We start from the raw sequence: 23461 nt of genomic DNA, 5'->3' as shown, positions 1-23461 counted from the left end.
ACTTCCCTAAGGTGGCTTTCAAAAGAGACACCAAGTGACATATTTTTAGGAGGGGTTTAAAAGTTTGATGGGGTAGAAGTAAACGTTGCTTAACTCAACCAGCAGCAGAGCCAGGGCCCAGGGACCAGCGCTTCTGTGGACTTGGCCTTTCCAGCAGCAGACCCAGCAATGAATGATCCGAACAGCTGTGTGGACAATGCAACAGTTTGCTCTGGTGCATCCTGTGTGGTACCTGAGAGCAATTTCAATAACATCCTAAGTGTGGTCCTAAGTACGGTGCTGACCATCCTGTTGGCCTTGGTGATGTTCTCCATGGGATGCAACGTGGAAATCAAGAAATTTCTAGGGCACATAAAGCGGCCGTGGGGCATTTGTGTTGGCTTCCTCTGTCAGTTTGGAATCATGCCCCTCACAGGATTCATCCTGTCGGTGGCCTTTGACATCCTCCCGCTCCAGGCCGTAGTGGTGCTCATTATAGGATGCTGCCCTGGAGGAACTGCCTCCAATATCTTGGCCTATTGGGTCGATGGCGACATGGACCTGAGGTAAGATTATCTATACCTCTAACTACTGCAATCACCTTGGAGTAATCCTTCCAGAAGCCTATGGCATTCTGAATGTCCAACTGATTTGCCACGCATCTAAAGTATGACTAAGGAATCAAACAGGAGAGAATAAATGCATTCCCGTGCCTTCTAGCACAGCTGCTTAGCTATTGGAATTGGGGGATTTATATTTTGTGTTTGTGTTTTTAAATCTAACTCAGTTAACAGGGAGTTGCATAATTGCTGTTGATCTCTAGGAAAAGATTCAAAGCTTTTTTAAAAAAGTAATCTTTTCCAAACCACAAGCTGCAGCTGAGGAGGTTTATCCTGTTGGTAGCAGGAAAAAAAAAGCAAAATACACTTTCTTTGTAATGATGAGGAGCTCTGGGTGCAATCATAAAATAAAACTGTTTGTCAAACATTAGAACCTGTAGTGAGACAGTGGTCAACTCCATCAAATATAGCCAGTTCTTTGGGCAAACATTTTCCTGGTATAAAACCTAAGGAAGAATTTGTAAATTTGCTTCACCTCTACTGGCATTAAAAGTGGGGGAAAAAGCCTATAGCAGCTTTTTTAAAATTATGCTTACCTTACTACAAAATAAACAGAAAACGTTTTCTCCACTTCCTACAGAGTAATCTAAATTGCAATGTTTGCCCATTTCATCCCGTGCCAGTCTGAACTAGCACTGGAAAAAAAAACTAATAGAAATAAGATGAAGCATTAATGTGACTAGATTGAGAAATTTAATGCTAAAAGTTGAATAGACAAATGTCTTTTTCCTTAGCTCACAATTCCTCATTTCCCTTGAAAGGTATGCATTTCCTTCTGCAAACCATCCAGGTGCTAATGCAACGTGTGCTTATTAAATACTGTACAGTAGGCAATTAGCTCTGTTCATCCCCAGCTACTATTGGCAGAGGAGAGAAGCACAAAGTGTAGAATTGTAAACACTGGATTGATAGAGTACCCAGTGATCAATTAGGAACCTGCTGTCTCATTTCAACTGGTGCTGGTTTCTCCAGAAGCTTTAGAAAAGTCATACAAACCCTATACCTTCATATGGTTTAGTCTTTCACATAAGAAAACACATGATATCCACCTTGCAATTGCTTTTTTTTTTTTAAGGAAAGCCCTATAAAACAACATAGGATGGCAAGTGCTATTCAGGTTTAGTTAATCTGTGAACCACGATATAGCAATAAGGTCTTTTTAGACCTCAATTTAGTTTGACCTGGACACAGGTACACAGAAGTGAGAATTCTAAATGCCAGCACCTGTTACACTGAGAAAAGTGAACTACTTGGAACATTGGGCCTTGACCCCCAATAAACAGCTTTCTCATAATATTTGTAACTTTTAGTGCAGAGGAGTTTTGTACCTCAATGTAATACCACATATGGAACCCTTTTATAAGACAGAAAAAAAACGTGTGTGGTACTGGACTATTAGGTTGTTGAAATGAATTCTCTTCTGTGAGCTAAAAACAGTAAGATCTAACCTAAAAGCTCCAAGTTACATTTTTCTGTGGTTTTAAGGAAATCTTATTTCTCTTGAAACAGGAGATGATTATGTAATCCTGTCCACCTAGCATAACAATTCCTATAAATTATTTTTTTTAATAAGAACTAAAAGTAGAATATGAAGCTTTGGTAGAAACCTCCAGCTAAATCCGTGCAAATGAATCCTTCCAGCAAGTCAAAATAAGCCCTGTAACGCAACATGGAGCAACCTCACCTATCCAGAGCTCAACAAGACCCAATAAAAGACACTGCACACCCAAAATAAATTTCACTTAATCTCATAAATGCTCCTCATGCGGGACCGACTTAACTATTTTTATTTTAAAGTTCTGTTGTGCTATTTCCCAGAAATAAGAAGCGGGGAAGGAAGCAGAGTGTTAGGAAGGGCAAAAGAGAAGATCAAATGCCTGCAAAGCAAAGCAGACACTGACAACACACAGCCATCTCTCTATCATTTATCCTCTATCACTTATTCTCTCTATCACATATTCTCTCTTAATTATCAATTATTCTCTCTGGTTTCTGTAGCACTTATTCCAGTCTCTGGTCTCTGTATCACTTACTCTTCTACAAACACAAGAAGATGTCACGGTATTTTAGAACAACCGATAATCATGTTTATCATGATCGGTCTTAATCATTGAGAAGAGGTTAAATTATACTGCTATGTAAGATGATGACATTATGCATTGTGTGTTAGGAAAACAATATTCCAATATTTCTTTAATACAAATTAATTAAAAGGGTAAAACCTGAGCTATTGCGTAACAGTTTTCCAAAACTTTTTATTCTTCTGGATTAAGAACTGGATAACTAAAGTCTCCTGATAATTTACTTAGATACAATCCTATCTAACATTTATATTTCCAGTTGTGTACACTTAGAATTTTACCTTCTCCATCTCCACTTGAACTCCAGCAATGGCATGAAGACATGACTGTTTATGTTAACAGGCAGCTACACTAATTGAGCTAATGCCACACAATGCCAGCAAAACCATTCCACCTGGTTTTAACTCTCTTGGTTATGGTTCTTGGGAGAAGAAACCAAAACATTTCTCTCTCACTCTGTCATCTCTTATGAACCTGGAAAGCCACCGCATTTTGCAATCTCTAGTGACTTTGAAAAACAAAAAAAAAATAGACAATAGTCCTTGATCATTGGAATCCAGCAAGTACTATTTCAGCTCCTTCTCTGACCACTCCCAGCCTGGAGTTTGTGAATCTGATTGGTGCACATATATTTTCACCTAAGTTGCAGCTGTGCCATGGACATCACATGCACAAAAAGCATCAGGGAGAAGAGATGGTGACTTTTCAGGTGAATCTGCTTGTGGCCAAAACCCATAGTTGAGAGGACACAGAAACATCCTATCTCCTTTTTGTCTGCTCTCTCCCCAGACACAGGCAAATATCCGGTGTCTTCATCCTTCTTAATGGCCTCAGCGACACCATGCAAGGACTTCTCATTTCCTTTCTTTGGCTTCCTCTTTGGGGAATCCATTCTTATGCATCCTTCTCCCAGTTGCCCCCAGTTCCTTCCCTGCCACCTACTTTCTACATTCCTTTTTATTATTTTACAGACTTTCCTACCACATCCTTTGTTCTTTGGGCAAATGCTGTTAGATTTTTCAGCTTCCAGTGCAGCATTCATTGATATTTTAGATATTCAAGAAATCTCACCCTGTAGCTTACCACAAATTCACAGCAATCAATCCTTCCTATGTCAACCCCATAAATGTCCTTCTCTTCTCTACTCTGGGAGACCTAACCCAAAACCATTCGGCTTTTTCCTTTATTCTCCCTAAAAGTAACCAAACATTGTTTCTCTCCAGTAGCACTGATTTTACTAGCTAATATTTATTAAACACTAGTATATGCCATGCACAGTGCTAAGTACTCAAAATAAGTTGGTATATTTCATCCTCCCAAGAATCCTCTAAAGTTAGTACTATTATTTTCTGCATTTGGCAGATAATGAAGTTAAGATTCATAACCTTGACCAAGGTCATTGAGTCAATGTATGCCTGAGTCAGAATTGGAATCACCCAGGTCTACCCACTACCACTTTGCAGGCTCATAAGCTTTCTCTACACTGCTTCTATCACTTTTCACTTCTCCAGTTTCTAGCACTGCCTATATACGCTACGTTAGAGCCTTCAAACTTGGTATTTTACTTCTAATATGATTACAATCTTTTACATTGCTTAACACTGATTTCACTGAATTCCTCAACATTCACTAAATTTACATTTATTCTTTCTTTTATTTCCATACACACAAAAGAAAATCTCCCTGGCAGTTAATAGAGCTGAAGTCAAAATTAAGACCAAGATTTTTTTTTTATTTTTCTTATACTTGACTCTTTTCTGTCAGTCTAATATAAATTCAAGGCAGTGTATGTATTTTTTATATACATGCCTTTTATAGAACTTCAGATTTTTTCGTGTAAGATAATATTTTCTTTTGCTAATTTAGGCTTCTATATTATTTCTTAAAATTCGTTATCTGTGAATTGTTTTAAATCTCATTTTGAGTGGTTTGATTTTGTTCTTATATTCATTCAAATAGCATCAACTTCCAGCTACCTATTCGTCTGTTCATCTGCAAGGTCTCTTCGTCAGTGCTGCTCACAAGTCTAAACCTTTCCTTCTCCAAACCCTCTTTTGTCCCTCATCACGATCCTTAAGAAACTGCTCTCACCAAACTCAAAATTATGATACAACGTCATAGATTGTCTTAGCAATATTCAGAATTAAAGGTTTTGCAAGGATCTTTGAAAAAAAAACAAAGACAGAAAAAGACTTCCTTCTTAAACATTTTCTCACATTTTAAAACAAAAATTCTCAGACTTCTCTTCACTGGAACCCAGTTAATAAATCCTCCTCACTTCCCCACCAGATTCCCACCACACTCTAGAAAAAAATATTGGATGCACAGAAAAAAAAGTGATTTTATTATAGGGACAACTTTAAATCCATTCTAATATATTTTTTAAAATAAAATAAAAAAAAAGAGAACACTGAAAGAAGAGAGGAAGGAACAGAGAAAAAAATTACCTTCAAACTCCAGTACTTTCATTATAAGTAGGACAAAGTACTATTAATAACAAATTAACTTGTTTGTCTGGTGTACAATTCTGCCTTAGCATCTATTTCATGCCTAAATTTACCTATAACCAGAATAGATTGAACTGCTTAAAGTTTTAAATACATCCACATTATTTGTTACTGTTGTAATATTTTAGCTCTACTAAAACAAGTATTTTTATCTAAATTATTTAAGCCTATTTTAAATGAGGTCATTCTGGTTAAAAATAAATATATTATTAGAGAAGTTAAGCTCTCTGATGAACTTTGTCCCACCCTGTATTTTGCCAAACTGTGCAAATTTAACTGTGCCTTGAAACAAAATTTCTCATTGTTAGCTCCTTTCTTAGTATAGTGTGTTGTTGTTGTTGTTGTTTTGGGGGGCAGGTAATATAAATATTTAACATTTTCTTTCAAGTACACCCATAATACCCTTAAGAAATTACTACTCTTGACAACCTCAATGACGACCTGTTGAGAGAAGGGCCTTTCAGAGAAATTTCTCATTTCTCTAAGTTTCCCGATTCTATTTGGTGGAACACAAGATACAAAAACATGGTAACATAAATGATCACAGCAGAGAGATGCAGGGTGCGGTGGCTCCCGCCTGTAATCCCAGCACTTTGGAAGGCCTAGGCGAGCGGATCACCTGAGCCCAGGAGTTTGAGACCAGCCTGGACAACATGGTGAAACCCCATCTCTACAAAAAATTTAAAAATTAGCCTGGCATGGTGGCTCATGCCTGTATTCCCAGCTACTCGGGAGGCTGAGGTGCAAAGATCACTTGAGCCCAGGCTTCAGTGAGCCAAGTTGGTGACCCTGTACTCTGGCCTGGGTGACAGAGAGAGACCCTATTTAAAAAAAAAAAAAAAAAAAAAATGGTAGTAGCAACCAGCTCTTAATAGAGTGCTTTGCATTGGTCTAAGTGCCGGACACCATTGGCTCATTCTATCCTTACAGCCATTTTAGATAAGGAAACTGGTAAAGAGAAGTCAACTAAATTACTCAAATTAACACACTAAGTGGCACCGCCTGCTTTCAGCCCAGACAGTGTGTGGCTTTAGAGCTCAGGCTTTAAAGGCAGAGAATGTACGCTGTGTACAGATCCCTTTGAAGAGGACCCGGAAGACTCACTCCCCAAAAATCTTTCTTTGACCCACTGTCCTAGTACTAGAGATAGCATCATTTGGCATTAATGTCTCCATGTAGATAGCCTACTCAGCCAGACCCTCTTATTAAAATGCAAACACTCTGAGCAGGGATGATACCAGACACTAGTTCTTCTGAACACACATTTGCCAAATTGCCAATAACTTACTCAGTGCTAAGAATTTATGTCTACCCTGCCGCTTGCATGCTTTCTTTTGATTTTTAAGTCAGCTTCCGCTTCTTGTCCCAAGCTAGGGTCACTTGGGCAGTAATTTTTCTGCTTTATGGCAACACAGCGAGGCCTCCTCCCTCGGACATGCATTCTATTCCAGGGGCCCAGGGAGGCCCATTCCATCTCAGCATGGTCAGACACATGCAGCCTTGGTGGTGTCAGCTGCTTTAAATGTGTTTGCTGTTCTTTGATTGAATGTTTGAAGGATGGCACACCCAGCGAACCTTATACATTATTTAATGATGACTTTAACCCATCGTTTAATACTGTTTCTGACCCTTAAGAATAAAAGGGGAGGGAAGGACGGCACAAGGCAAAGTGGAAAGACACCAAATATGGCCCATTTTGCTCAAGGCCAGGCCCTGAATACACTCAGGCACATAGGCACATGTATATTACTGTTCATCACACCAGACGATGCTACAGGTTGAGACAGATTCTTGCAGGACTTTCTTATCATGAATCGAAAATAAAAATTTTCTCCCATTCGGGAGGTTGTTTGTCTACTCTGCTTATAGTTTCCTTTGCTGTGCAGAAGCTCTTTAGTTTAATTAGATTCCAAGAAAACAATGAACAAACCCATTAAAAAGTGGGCAAATGACATGAACGGATGCTTCTCAAAAGAAGTCACACATGCAGCCAACAATCATATGAAAAAAAGTTCAACATCACTGATCATTAGAGAAATGCAAATCAAAACCACAATGAAATGCCATATCACATCAGTCAGAATGGCTATTATTAAAAAGGCAAAAATTAACAGATGCTGGCGAGGTTACAGAGAAAAAGGAATACTTATCTTCTGTTGGTGGGAGTGTAAATTAGTTCATCCATTGCGGAAAGCAGTGTGGCAATTCCTCAAAGACCTAAAAACAGAAATACACTCAACCCATCAATCCCATTACTGGGTATATACCCAAAAGAATACAAATCGTTCTATTATAAAGACACATGCACACATATGTCCACCGCAGCACTATTTACAATGGCATACATATGGAATCAACCTAATTGCCCATCAATGATAGACTGGATAAAGAAAATGTGGTACATACACACCATGGAATACTATGCAGCCATAAAAATGGACTAGATCAAGTCTTTTGCAGGAACATGGATGGAGCTGGAGGCCATTATCCTTAGCAAAGTAACACAAGGACAGAAAACCAAATACTGCATGTTCTCACTTATAAGTGGGAGCTAAATGATGAGAACGCATGGACACATAGAGGGGAACACAGACACTGGGGCCTATTAGAGGGTGGAGGGTGGGAGGAAAGAGAGGATCAGGAAACATAACTAATGGGTACTAGGCTTAATACCTAGGCAATGAAATAATCTGTACAACAAACCCCCATGACACAAGTTGACCTATATAACAAACATGCACATATACCCCTAAACTTAAAATAAAAGTTAAATTAAAAAATAAAAATAAAACAGCATCTTCCCTAGAACACCACAGGTGGATGTATCAATCTGCCCATTGCCTTTCAGCGTCAGCATGACCACATGCTCCACACTGCTTGCCCTCGGAATGATGCCGCTGTGCCTCCTTATCTATACCAAAATGTGGGTCGACTCTGGGAGCATCGTAATTCCCTATGATAACATAGGTAAGTCATCCATCTGTAAGACTGTTGACTGTTACCCTCAAACTCTCTGCTTACCCCCTGCTAGGCTCTCAGACCAGGCTCACACCTGACCGTTATTGCCCTAGTAGGAGTTTTTGCCTGATTTCATTATAAAGTCACCCCTGCGTTTGGAGAGTGATGGCAGAATGTAAATTCCAAACCTTGACCTTATGGGAGAACCTGTCTTTTCTTCAATTTGAATCACCAGGGAAAGGAGCCCCCTCCCCAGCCCTCAGTCTGGACTGAGGAGGCTTAAGCTTTGGGGACATGGGAGCTTGCACCTATTCCTTAACCCAGAGTGTCACTAGTTAATGGTCATAGGATTTTGCATCCAGACACTTGAATTGAAGAAATTTTTTTTTTTTTTGAGATGGAGTCTCACTCTGCCACCCAGCCTGGAGTGCAGGGGCGTGATCTCGGCTCACTGCAAATTTCACCCCCTGGGTTCAAGCAATTCTCCTGCCTCAGCCTCCCTAGTAGCTGGAATTACAAGCATGCACTACCACGCCTGGCTAATTTTTGTATTTTTAATAGGGACGGGGTTTCTCCATGTTGGTCAGGCTGGTCTCAAACTCCTGACCTCAAGTGATCTGCCGGCCTCAGCCTCCCAAAGTGGGATAACATGCATGAGCCACCACGCCCAGCCTGAAGAAATTTTTTAAAATCACATAATGGTTTCAAAATAGAGCACTGAGTAAGCAATCCAGAGTGTTACAACAGAAAACTGCTAGACGAAACACACTGTTTCTAACACTCGACTGTGAGCCACACCTTGACCCAAAAGTTGATTTAATGGCAAAGTCATGCTCCAGGAGTCAAATTTACTAGTAATGACTCTGTCTCATTTCACCCTCATCCCAAAAACCTTATTTTCTGTTTCTGGGGAAACAAATTATAGTGGGAGATTAAGTTATTGTTGTAACTTAGGGATGAGGGTCAAAGGAAGAACAAGAGAGTTCCTGGTATACCAGGAATAGGCATTTCCCACAGAACTATCACGAACAAAAGACAAGATGTGGGCAAAATAGTAAATCAGTAACAATCACCAGGTACACTATATGCCCCAAATACCTGGGTTTTTTTCCCCACTGACCTTGGAAAAAAATCCCAATGAGCTGCCTCAGAAAGGTGTGGGTTTCCCATTGAAGAAAGCATCCAAGCAAAGGCTAAATGATAAGCCACCTGGATGCTTGTAAAAGGGACTCCTATTGGGATAGGAAGCTGGGCTGAAATGCCTTCCATTTCTGAGAAAGACTGCTTCTGTGATTTAGGGTGATTGAGGGAATATACAACTGAATTAGAATAAACTTTGTGAATACTAATTGGGGATGATCTGTATTACAATGTTTGTAGCCTCTTCTCTCTCTCCTACTCTTACCATTACCATTAGACCAAAAAAAAAATTGTCCTCCTTGACATGCCCTATTCAGTATGGGCTTTTGATATACAAGATTCTTCAGACTCCAGGAGAGAACCTTAATATCATATATAACCTCCTGACAAGAGACTTTAGGGTGACCCTCCACTACCACCTGCTTTTGCCTTCATGCTGCTTGACTCTCTGGCTGCTCTGTCAGCGGACGCCTTCCATAGAGCTAAAAACCATAGTTTACGTGAGTGGTGACCATTATATCCCTCTCAAAGAACCTGTCTGCTGAGTGAGGAATTTTGATTCCACAATACTCACTGTAATAATTTAATAATTTAAGCCATAAAATATTCTCCTTTTGATATACATTCCCTTCTGAGAAATGACTCATGGAAATACTGAATAATTCTAACTGCAGTGTGAATGACTTATACCATATTCTGTGATGTGAATAAATTTTGAAATAAGGAGAAAATGAAAAATCAATTAGCACTTCAATGGAGGAAAAGGTCATCATAAGAGGTCAAGAGTGAAAAGAAAAGAAAAATAGGAAAAGAGAAAAGAAAACGGAAAAAGAGAGAAGTTTGAAAAACAAAGATATTGTTATATGTAAAATATTTATTCAGAAACAGAATACTTGTTCCTCAGTACCACAAGGAAAAATGAGCATTCAGACAAAAAGTTTTCTCAGCAAGGCAATTTTACTTTCTGCAGAAAGAGTGCTCCTCACAGATGGCACAATGGTGACAGCACACCTGAACAATGGAGGGAAGTAATTCGTATCCCTTATGCAGCTTGTCCCTGCTACTGTGTCCTGTCTCCATTGGCTGGAGCCAGACATCACAATCTAAGCTAAAACCTGACTGGCTAATAATTTAAAACTTTTCTAAATAGGTATAGGCAATAGACAACAAAGGAAAAGAGGACGTTGCTTGTGAAAGGACTTAGAAAAGTAATAATATTTCCAAATAAGGAAGGGGCATAGGCTGCAAGCTGGAATGTACCTGTGAGCATGTTCAGCATAAATATCTTGGTTAAAGTACAAGGACATAGAATGTACTTATTCCTTTATATCTAACAGCTACATAGAATAGGGCTTAACAAAGAGTTACTAGCACAAAGTAAGGGGGCTTGAAGAAAGTTAGTCTTTAAAAGAAATTATTATTTCTAATGTTTATTATTATTATTATTTTCCTTTAACAACAAGGGACACTTTGAAGAGGAAACTTTTTACTTTCTACAGATATTAACCCTGCTCACCATGTTTGCCCAGGCCTCCAAGCTCACCTTTTTGCTGTTGGTTTTTCTAGTTCTTTAACATAGAAAATAAATGAACTGACTGCTTCACAAGATGTTATCACTGCTTTCTAAATTGTGGCTCAGGGTGATTATTTGCCCAAGGTCACCAGGAAGCTGGAATAGCCCACAGTCTATTCTCTACACAGCTCTATGGGCAGACGTGTTTGGTACAACTTCATGCTCCAGTGATTCAGTAAACACCTGTGAGCCCCCTCAGATGCTGACATCTGGATCGAGAGGAGGCAGACCATGCAGCTGGTACCACTAAAATAAAACCACTGCTGCAAATTGTTGTACTTACTCCTCTCTACCCCACATTTTTAAGTGTCTTGTGCCAAGAAGTTTATAGCCATTTCATCATTTAATTCTCACAACAGCACTGTAAGGCAGACATAACTCCACCCATTTTACAAATGAGGAAACAAAAGCTCAGAGGGGTTCAATGATTTGCACAGTTCCCACAGTTTGGGAATACAGAAAGGTTCAGTTCCAAATCTATCTGGCTCCCAGTCCCACCACATGAATCCATTCACCACCACTCTCTTTCATTCTCATTCTTCTTTCTACCTTTCTTTCCTCTGATATCTACTGTGTAAACTTGATTAAAGACCAAGTTATGGATTCAATGTGTAACCATGAGTGGATGCTTTTTCATCTACATAGACAGGCACTTTACAGAGAGAACATGGGCATATGAGGCATACGTAAAACAAACAGAGCATGGGGAAAGAAAAGAGCAAGATCACCAGCCCACTGGAGACCAAAGTTACAACATCCACCTCTACAAGCAGAAGCCACACACTGTGGGTGTAAAGAAAGACAGAGTCCCTTTCCCAGTCAACCCCAGGTCCCTGAAAAACTTCATCTGGCCTCATCTGGTCAGGAAAGAAAAGCAATTCTGCCATGGATTTCAGCAGGTGGTGCTGCTTATGTGTTATCCCGTTGGCTTGGGCTGCCTCAAAAAGATGAATACTCTTAGCAGGAGGGGCCAAACAGATTCAGCACATTAAAATATAGGACCAAAACCTAACCACACTAACATTCCAAGCACAGGACTTGCAGCTAGATTTAAGCTACCACATCACAAACAAGTCATATATCCAGATGGTTTTAAGACCTACAAACTTCAAAAACTTAGGCAATGGTCTAAAGACCCAGGAGAGGGAGTTTCCTTCTTGTATTCATCTGTTCTCTCATTGCTATAAAGAATTACCTGAGACTGGATAATTTATAAAGAAAAGAAGTTTAGTTGGCTCACAGTTCCACAGACTGTACAGGAAGCATGGCAGGGGAGGCCTCAGGAAACGTACAATCATGGCAGAAGGGGAAGGGGAAGCAGGCAGCTTCTACATGGCTGGAGCAGAGGAAGAGAGCAAAGAAGGAGGTGTGCACACTTATAGACAACCAGATCACATGAGAACTCACTATCACAAGAACAACAAGGGGGAAGTCTGCCCCCCACAATTCAATCACCTCCCACCAGGCCCCTCCTCCAACAGACCCGTCCTTTAGTTGTAATCCTCCAACTGGGGATTATAATTCAACATGAGATATGGGTGGGGACAGAGAGCCAAACCATATCACTCCCAAAACAGCAGGATGCAAGGATACCCAAGGGGGGTTTTTCTGGGGCATCTCAGCAGTACGTGTGTCAACGCCACTCTTTCACATCTTTTTTTCCATTATTCCCTCCTTACTCCCCCTCATTTATCTTTTTTTTTCCTACTCTTAGTACCCTTAGTCATTATTTAATTCTGCTAAGTAATTTCTGGGCAAAAGTCATCACTGACCCTTATATTGCCAGGAGGGCTAGAAGACTACAAGGAAATTATGTTTTCATCATTATTGCATTCACTTTAAATTAATATCTATAGCCTTGGATTCCAGAATCTGTTTTCTAGTCCTAGTTCAATCTACCTAGTTAATCAATACTAAGCAACATCCACTCTCAGAATTTCACCGTTCAATATCACTTTCTTATACTGCTTTAAAAGGATGTTTGAAAAAGAAACAACCTATGAAAAGTTAGAAGTTGTTGGTGCTAAATTATATGAAATCAGCTATTGGACAAATGAGTGTTAAATAACATGGAGAAACAAACCACATGTCGCAAAAACAGCAGTAAATTTAACATGGTGAAATTGAAGTATGACTCTTTTATCTGGCCAGGTGAGCATGTTACTGCAAAGAACTATAATTACATGAGAGTTCGTCAAATATATTATCTCATGGAAAATTTAAAGCACGCTTTCTCAACTTTTGTTCTCACCTCTCTGCTGTAAATTTGAATAGCTAAAGCTAGTTTTAACCAAAAGTCAGATGTCAGAATACCTGGTGATCTTGAGCTAATTTTGGACATTTTCTTTCATTTTAAAATATTTTAAAATTATTTTTTATTTCTACTACCATGAACTAGCAGACAAATGTAAAATGTCATCTTTGTATGCCATACACACACACACACACACACACACACACACACACACACACACACACCTTGGTGAGCTATTTTTCCTAGAGATATAAAGATCCAAAGACTAAAGAAGCCAAGATTCTGACAAATTAAAACTAATGTATGCTGGCAAAATAAGAAACTCTAAAAAATTAATGCAGAATTTAGTGAAAGAATTTACAGCATTGATATTATCAATTATCTACCAATAATATTAAATTATTTACTGGAGTGGGTGAAGAAGTTGAGTGAGTGTGTGTGTGCATGTGTGTGTGTGTAATTCTGTATTCTGTTTTGTGTATTCAAGAAGGAAGACTGAAATACCACCTAATCTTTCTTCAGGCTGCTTGTTCTTCTGTTTTTCTCTTTCCTGTGTCACCTGTTCTGCTGATCACATTGCCCTTCTGTCATCTTTAGGTACATCTCTGGTTTCTCTCGTTGTTCCTGTTTCCATTGGAATGTTTGTTAATCACAAATGGCCCCAAAAAGCAAAGATCATACTTAAAGTAAGTATCCCAGTTCACACCATTAAATATTCCACTGTGACAATCAAAACCATAGGGTTTTCCATCCATGAAATGGTTTCATTCTCATTATATGATTACTGTTGAGTGGGGGCCTGAAGTCATTAGCCATGCAGTCTTCTCCTTTAGAATGTCCTTCTTTATATGTGTGTAGAGAGAGAGGTGGGATCTCACTATGTTGCTAATGCTGTTCTTGAACTCCTGTGCTCAAGTGATCCTTCCAAAGTGCTGGGATTACAGGTATGAGACACTGCGCCCAGCCTAGCATGCCCTTCTTTATTGCAGTCACAGGAAAAATTTCTACCCATTCTTTAAGACACTCCACTGAACTATCACCTCTTGGGTTTACTCTATTCTGTCCTCAGGGCATATTACTGTTATCTCTGTTATGTGAGTTTGTGTTATACAATATATCTAAATGGCTTTCTTAGAAAATAGAACATATCTTTCTTATGTCTGTATGCATATGGCCATTTCATTGCCTGGCAATCCCATTCACTAACTATATTCTAGCTAGATGATCTGGATATGTATGTAGATAATATAGATAGATTCTGCTGCTCGGGGCAAAGTAAGTCCATTGTATTCCTTGCTTCTCTTGACAAAAAATGTTTATAATCTCCAAATTTTGTTTTAAATGTGAAAAGGAGAAAAAAAATAACAACAGTGGTTTTCATTTGCTTATACCTTTTTTAAAGTTGTATAGAGTTCTATACCCATTTTCTCATTATCGTAACAATCATAAAGGGAAGCTGGGGCGACATTTTATCCCCAATTACAAATAAAGAAACTACAGTTCAGAAAGTTCCTGATTTACTGAAGGAAACAGAATAGGAGTAGTTGAATCTGGAAGCCAAATCTTCCAGGCTGTCATCGAAATGGGTTGTCTTTTTGTTCTGACAAGGATAATTTTCAAGTCAGAAAATCTTCAGACTAATTGCAAATGGTTGCTACATGTCCTATTGTGTTCTTAAAGCTTAAAGCATGGGACAAGCGTCAGTATTTCCAGTGGGCTGATTGCAGCCTCCTGGCTTGGAGTACATAGAAAGACAACTTTATCATCACTTCCCCCAGGGACAAGGAGACTGCTGAGGTTTTGTCTCTGACAAACATACTTGGATTTGCTTTGACTCATGATTGCTGGGTTCACTTATTCCTTTTTTTTTCAGATTGGGTCCATCGCGGGCGCCATCCTCATTGTGCTCATAGCTGTGGTTGGAGGAATATTGTACCAAAGCGCCTGGATCATTGCTCCCAAACTGTGGATTATAGGAACAATATTTCCTGTGGCGGGTTACTCCCTGGGGTTTCTTCTGGCTAGAATTGCTGGTCTACCCTGGTACAGGTATGGCATTTAGTAAATCACATTGGGAATTTTAATCTGTAATATCTGTTGTATTCCTTTGCTAGAGGTGCCATAAGACAGAACCACAAACTGAGTGGCTTAAACAACAGACACTTATTGTCTCATGGTTTCAGAGACTAGAAGTGAAAATGAAGGTGTCACTGAATTGATTCTTTCTAAGGGCTATGATGGAGGGATCCCTTACTGGCCTTCCTCGTGGCTTGCAGACATCCATCTTCTTCCTGTGTCTTTCCTCAGTGCACCTCTCTGTGGCCTGGCTCCCCTTTTGATAAGGACACCAGTCATTGGATAAGGGCCTCCTCTAATGAACTCATCTTAACTAATTATATCTGCAATGACCCTGTTCCCACATAATGTCACATCCTGAGGTGCGGAGTGTTAGGACTTCAACATATGAATTTGGGGGAAAGGGAGACATAATCAATCCATAACAGCTGCAAACACTGAAGACAGGATCAAAATCCTTAGCCCTTCATCAATCACATTCATCCTATTTCTGAATATGTCATTCTAAATAGGCCCATTCATTCTGAAGTCATGCAAGTCCCCAGAAAGAAAATACTGACTGCCTCTTTTTTGCTCAAAGTCTTCTGGACCATTCGGCTTACAAGGCAGATGGGGCTCTTCCATTGCTAAGTATTCTTATTCTCTGAGTGGAATGACATTAATGAAAGCAGTTGGGCTGCCTTGGAATAGACAAGCGTTCCTCCAGCTGGCAGCAGGGTGAGCTCATCCTCCAAAGGCGCCGAATATTAAAATGGGTTTCACACTTCTGGATTTGGTACCGGGCAAAAACAATTCTTTTTGACTAATCCATCGAATCCACAGGCAGAGAGAACACAGGTGTAGGGACAGATGCATGTATGAAGTTGGGAAAGAGAGGAGTGGGTATGGGCAGCAAGAAGAGCGCAGTGTTTGAGTCAGGCAGACCTGGGCTTGCCTTCCAATCCGACCACACACTGCCCGGGGGACCTCAGGCCCAGCATTCACTCTTTCTCTGAGTTTTATCATCTGTAGAATGGGGACAATAATTTCTACCTTATAGACTTTCTGTCAAGATTTAAACACAACAATTTTTTATTTTTATGAGACAGGGTCTCATTCTGTCGCCCAGGCTGGAGTCCAGTGGCACAATCATAGCTCACTGAAGCCTTGGCTCAAGTGATCCTCCTGCCTTAGCCTCCCGAGGAGCTGGGACTACAAGCCCACACCACCTTGCCTGGCTAATTTTTTTGTTTTGTTTTGTTGTTTTAGAAACAGGGTCTCATTATGTGGCCCAGTCTGGTCTTGAACTCCTGGACACCTGGGCTCAAGAAATCCTCCCACTTCAGCCTCCCAAAGTGCTGAGATTACTGGTGTGAGCCACCTGTTTAGCCCAGCCTAAACAAAACAAATTAAACAATAAAACAGCGACAACAAATACCATATCTTGAGCATTTTCTGAGCTGCTGCCCTGTGCTCTACACTGTTACCAAAATCATAATTGAAAAGGGTGAAATGAACCCTCTTGGCCACTTACCTAACACTGTGGTAAATGAGCCAACTCTTCATATGCACATATTAAATATATTTATTTATATTATATACAATAGGTGAGATGATGTATAATATACATTAATAAGTATTACACTTATTCCATAGAAAGTTATATATTGAATAAGCCTATCTTAAATACATGCATTAAAAGCAGAGACATAATGCATATATATGTACTTATTATTATATCTGCTTTTCATGTTTCACAATAACAAAACTACTAAAACATGTGCTCTCTTAACATCTTCTTTAGGTGCCGAACGGTTGCTTTTGAAACGGGGATGCAGAACACGCAGCTATGTTCCACCATCGTTCAGCTCTCCTTCACTCCTGAGGAGCTCAATGTCGTATTCACCTTCCCGCTCATCTACAGCATTTTCCAGCTCGCCTTTGCCGCAATATTCTTAGGATGTAAGGAATCATGCCAATCCCATTTCATGATAATCTTTGAAAAATCCTGGAGTTGCTAAAACAACATTTTTTTAAAACTCCCCGTTCCTGGTGGTGAATTGTACAAATATATGAGAGGAAAAAGCCACCGTCATATTATCATGACTTTCCAATTGCTGATGAAAAGATGGTAGTTTTACCAAAAGATTCTAGCAAAGATTATTTTTGAGTGAAAAGTAATGGAGGCCGATTCTCTCCAATGACTTTCTTTTCCTCAGTAATAAGGAAGGCAGAGGAACCTGTTGGGACCATTTTATTGTGCGCCTTCTGGCATTCGCCCAGGAACTCAGGATTTGGTGATCTTTTTCAAAACATTGTCTTGATATGCTTTATAAATATAGGATATTTATCAGAAAACTGGTATACAAAGAAAATTTACCAGGCTAACTTACAAGGAAGATGTGTGTGTGCATATGTGTATATGCATGTATATATATATTTTAAATACCCATATAATTGAAGTGGTTGAAGCAAAAATGTTCCTTATGTAAAGTACTAGGTGTAGTTTAAGTAATTCTTACTTCTCCTGTCCTGTGGCATGAAGCTCCCAGCGTTTCCCATCAGGCCCCACCGCCCACTGGCCTTCACCTAGTTGAAAATTCTTTCTACATTTTCCTTTCCAAGGGCTGATAATATTTAACCTCTATTTTTACATTCTATTTTTTTTAATAAAAAAGCTAGTTTTTAAAGCCTCATGACATTGTAATGAGGAATATAAAGTGAAGGCACGCAACAAAACTAATGTAAATGTTAGGTCACAAAATGTCCAGAGATATAGTTTGGTTTTGTTTGGTTTTGCTTTTCTCTCTCTCTCTCTTTTCTTTTTTTCTTTTCTTTTCTTTTTTTTTCTTTTTTTTTTGAGACAGCCCCTCACTCTGTCGTCCAGGCAGGATTGCAGTGGTGTGATCTCTGCTCACTGCAAGCTCTGCCTCCTGGGTTCACGCCATTCTCCCACCTCAGCCTCCCAAGTAGCTGGGACTACAGGTGCCCGCCACCATGACAGGCTAATTTTGTTTTTGTATTTTTAGTAGAGACGGGGTTCCGAGGCGGGCAGATCATGAGGTCAGGAGATCGAGACCATCCTGGCTAACACGGTGAAACCCCATCTCTACTAAAAATATGGTTTTGCTTTACTTTTCTGCTTAGCTTCATCAGCTCTTCAACTTGCCCTGTGATGCTGATCTCCTCTGCACTACTGTCTTGAATGTCATTCTCAAAGCAGAGGCTTCCTTTCCAGAACAGAATACTCTGAATCCACTGAAAACATTCCATGGATTTATCACTGCTCCAGGAAGCAGGAGTCCAGGCCTAATTACCTTGTTTTCTGTATAATAACGTTGTTTGATCTGCCCAATTTGGCACACAGTGGGATTTTTCCAAATAATTACTTAATGATGTCTACTAGATAAGCCAGAGAAAGTGGACTGGTTGATAGAACAATTAAGTAATGCACTAGTTGAACACTAACCCCAAAGAGGTTGATTAATAAAAAATTAAGTTGAAGGAATGAGGAAAAGGGAGCACTCAACTCGGTCTTGAAATTTCCCAGTTACATCAGTATGTATAAAAATAAGGGAGGAATCTTTGTTAAGTGTATACAATACCTGGAAACATATTTTGGTGGTAAGGCTAGGATTCTAAATTTTTTTTTGGAAAAAGGAGAGGAGGGGAAGAAAGAAAAAGGGAAAAAAGGAAGGATGGGGGAGGGAGAGAGGGAGGGAGGGAGGGAGGAAGGCAGGGAGAGAAGGGAGGGAAAGAAAAAGGGATAAACAAGAGGTATAGTTTGGTTAAATGAAATCATTGGCATAAGTTTAAGCTGAGGGACTCTCAGCTCAAAACAGTTTATAATAAGTGGCGGATCTTCAAATTGACCACAAGCTCAATTAAATTCAATAGTGTGGTTCAGTGGCTTTGAAAATAATATATGACTAGAAGTTCAGGGACCAATCTAAAGGAAATATTGATCTTGAGTTAATAAGATCTTTGAAGCAAGTCATTATCTCTCTCAGCTGTGTATCATAATGAACGTTAACATTTATTGAGCATTTACTATTCTTCACAGACCATGTTAGGCATTTAATTTTATCTCATTTAATGTTCACAATTGCCCTATGAGGTAGCTAATATTATTATGGCCATTTTATATGTGAGGTATTAGAATTCGAGGGGTCCTATAAGGAGTATTTTCTGTCCTCCTCTTGCCTTTGTGACCAATTGAGAAGTAGAAGAAAAATCAGATATTCAGATAACAGAATAGCACTTTAACTATGGATAAAACTTAATTGGAAAACATGACTTGAATCTGCAACCAAATGGGCTTGTTGAAACCACCCTTTCCTCCACTGCCTCACACATGTGCAGACATGTACTCACACATGCATAGACACTGCAGGTCTTGCCTCGCAGGGCAGAGCCTACCCTGATGAGCTGACATTAAAAATAAGCTGAGAAATGCTTGCTATCAGAGACCAGCAGCTCCACAGAAAAGAGGAATGCTGATCACCCATCAGCCGAGTCTCTTCTCTCCGGGGGAAAGATTGAATGAAGGCAGGGAGGGAATGGGAACGTTGTTCTAGTTCAAGTCCTTCTACAGAGGACCATCAAACCCATGTCCTGGAGGTTGCACTGCACCATGTGTATATTTATTAAGAACTAGCACATTAACTGGGATATGGCGGTACAGAATAAATCCTCCCTATTGTTCTTATCATTGTTGAGTACCACGTGCAGGGCTGAATGCCTGAAGAAGCTTGTGGCTGCCCTGAGCAAATGTCTCCTAAAGATTTATGCTAGGTCTTCCTGAAGTGCAGTCATCCCTCTCGCCATGAGTAGCCATAGAACTAAGAATGGTGATTTCTTTCTCTAAGCAGCCTCCAGTCTACAGAAAATGTGATCTGCCATGTGAATCATAGGTTATAATCTCTATGCAAAGTAATTTTGCAGTTTATTATTATAAAATTTACTTAACTGTCTGTGTATTGTTTTCTAGTTTATGTGGCATACAAGAAATGTCATGGAAAAAACAAGGCAGAAATTCCAGAGAGCAAAGAAAATGGAACGGAGCCAGAGTCATCGTTTTATAAGGCAAATGGAGGATTTCAACCTGACGAAAAGTAGACATCAAGTGGACAAAACAGACGAGTTCCAAATTACGTTCTTAAACCGTAACTATATTTAATTATTTGTTTTGGTAGGACAGTTGGCAGAAAAGAGTTAAAGTGAAAATTGGAATTTCATTGGAATTCATGTATTGGTTTCAGTACCAAGTGACTGGTGGCCCAATTCTTTAATGGGACAAATATTGTTTCCTATATATATGTATATGTTTTATATATGTATGTATACTCATATAGATATATTGTCATTGAAATATTCCCCCAAAATATTCTCAGACTAAACCTGACATAGGGAACACCGAGAATGAAAACATCTTTAACACCAAAACTGAATTCTTATGCAGAATTTCCTAGCCCATAGATGACAACCTGACTTTCTGTATGTTAAAGTAGATGTAATGAATTATTATTATTACAGTGGTCACGATTTTCTTCAGTGTTTATGATTATAAAAATTGACATGAACATCTTTCACTGACATTTTAATCATTATTTTAAAAGCTTTGCAACCTATATATTTATATAACTTTGTAATATAACATGGGCAAATATCTGACTTCTGTATTTTTAAAAAGTTGCCTTCTCCAGTGGCAGTCCAAAAGCAGAAATGAGAGGAAATTATTACAAAATAGAATTCAATAACCATATTGGATGCAGGCTCTTAACTCAGCAGGGATATCGTACATCTATTGCTCTACCTCAGGGGTCCAGTGATACCCACTAGATCTTCCAAGGAAAAACATAATTCTTTCAAACGGTGTGTATTTGGCAAAGAGCTCTTCAAATCTGGGAGAGGGACTTCCTCAAGGTTTTCCTGTGTGCAGTGGATCCACATAGCTAATATGACAGCTAGTCAGTTGACAGGGACCACCCACAGTAAGCACCATGGTCAGGGAGGTGGCAGGAGGTGCAAAGACAGAAGTATTGAGAGAAACACCAAGACTCTAGTGGAGGAATTAATTCAATGGGAGATAGTATAAAATACATAGAAAACACAAGTAACAGAAACCTGGTTGAAATGCTTAACTAGAGTCAATTAGATGTGCAGGAGTAAGTAGTATAAGAAGAATCAAGTCCGAGAGTGATCAGGAAATGAGTATTAAACAGTATTTGAAACAGAGAACGTGTCCCAGGGCCCAAAAGTCAGAAGGGCCCCACCAGCCAGGAAAGTTGTTTCAATGCTGTAAGTAGGTGTAGCCAAGGGAAGCCAGGACTATCTGATATACGGTAGCAGGGGTTTACGGCTGCCAGGGGAAAATAACTCATCAAGTGTTGGACTTTCAATTATAAGATCGAATTTAATTTCCTTTCCCTCATTCTGCAGCAATCAGAATACACAATCTTAACCACTCGGTCCTTAGTGGTTTTGTTCCATTTTGCATTGGGTATTTTCACTGCCTCATAGAGTCTATTTCAAGTGTTTTGGCTGAAAGGGCTTTTTGCATTTGCATGTTCTGAGTTCAGATTCTGCTGGTGCACCCAAGCATTATGGGAACAGGAACTCAACTTAGCTCTTCCAGTAGAGGGGTGAGGGATTCTGCTTTTCAAATTCATAACATTGATCTTTTTATGCAAGATTTCCATTTACAGTTGAATAAGTACTTCATATTTTTCCATCATTAGACAAATACAAAATGGACTAAATAATTTTAAGAGATAGTGGAGGAGAGGGGGTACAGACTTCCTTCTTAGAGAGTGTCAGAGAATATGCTCCCAATGGTGGAAAGGAAGATTTACAGTCTAGCGGCTAAGTACCTCCTACACATTTCCCATCAATCAGAAAATAGACAGGTACACTAAAGGGACCCTGAGAACTCCTCTTGTAATTTCAACACACCCAAAATCAAGGGCCTGGATGCCAGCAGCTGCAGCAAGCAGGTTTTTCCTCCCTGTTGAGCAAGACAGGTGAGCAAGATAGGACTTGGCTTTCTTACATGATGCGGTAACTTGTGACTTGAGTCTTTTTCCCTAATTTGCTAGTGGGAAGAAAAATAGCTGAGCTTTCTAAAATGATAGCTCTCTATTTTTAAATGAATTTGAAAAGTCGATTAAATTATGTATTTTATTGCCTCTGAGTATCATATTAAATGAATATTTTATTTTAAAGGCTTAAATAAATGAAAATGATTTTTGTAATGTTTGGTCTAGTTGAATCTTTGTGACTTGTGTCAAGATTTTCTCACTGCTCAGTTCTAGAGATACAAATAAGGTGGAGTTTCTCAGATATTAAATTGTTCTTTGAAAGGTGCCTGAAAGAAACTCTTAATTAAACACTCTCATAATTCGGTCTCCCACTGATACTGACTGGGATTTTCCTCCAGAAAATCATACAGGGGGAACATTAATTAAATACTCTTAAAAATAGTTTGACAATGATAGCTGATTTAAAATAATAATGAAAGTATTTCATGAACTTACAAATGAAGCCACCATCTTCTACGAAATGGTGATGTATATACATATATATACACGTGTGTGTATATTTACACACATACACAATGATAGCCTATTTAAAATAATAAAAGTATTTCACGAACTTACAAATAAAGCTTTCACCTCCTACAAAATGGTGATAAATGATATATGTATATTATACATATGACATATATATAATATTATATATGTCACATATATTATACATATGACATATATTATATATATGTCATATGTATAATATACACATACACACACAAAGAATTATGGAGCTCTTGCATTAAAATCTCTCATAAATGAGACTTGAAGAAATTCAGGTCATCAACCTCATTTGACTCCTCCTCAAAGACATCATTCTCTTTTCAATCTAGGAAACTCTCACTCTCTTCCAGTAGGAAACAATTTATCTCCTTGGAATATTTGGTATCCCATTGCTTCTCAATCCTTCACCTTTTCAAAAACCACATAAGTTTAGAACAACCGTCTTCAAACTGTGGTGTGGTTACCCCTGGGAGTTCATGAAATTGTTCAAAGGGTATGCAGGCATGGTTAGGGAGTAAGTTTCCATTTCTTCAACTTCCAGATGTATACCTTCCCCAAACTGCCCTGCCTGAAATGCCCAGTGTTTGAGTTGTCCTGGGTTCTCCATGTCCACCTCCTCTCTCATGGTCAGGCCTTATTCTCAGGCCTAATCTTACTATGGTACATTGGTCAAGGGTAGGAACACTTTTTAACACCAAGCAA

General features: G+C 39.2%; 1 protein-coding gene across 1 annotated transcript; it reads left to right on the top strand.

The window, feature by feature from the left end:
- On the top strand, positions 1-22420 carry SLC10A2 (solute carrier family 10 member 2). The gene is made up of 6 exons (NM_000452.3): positions 1-545; positions 8036-8154; positions 13710-13798; positions 14986-15161; positions 16972-17129; positions 20158-22420. The coding sequence occupies exons 1-6, from the start codon at positions 169-171 to the stop codon at positions 20283-20285; spliced, it is 1047 nt and encodes a 348-aa protein (NP_000443.2). The 5' UTR covers positions 1-168; the 3' UTR covers positions 20286-22420.

The sequence above is a fragment of the Homo sapiens genome, chromosome 13 (assembly GCF_000001405.40).
Source record: "Homo sapiens chromosome 13, GRCh38.p14 Primary Assembly".
Taxonomy (NCBI): Eukaryota; Metazoa; Chordata; class Mammalia; order Primates; family Hominidae; genus Homo; species Homo sapiens.
The sequence above is the reverse complement of the archived record's forward strand: the minus strand, read 5'-3'. Positions and strand labels throughout refer to the sequence as shown.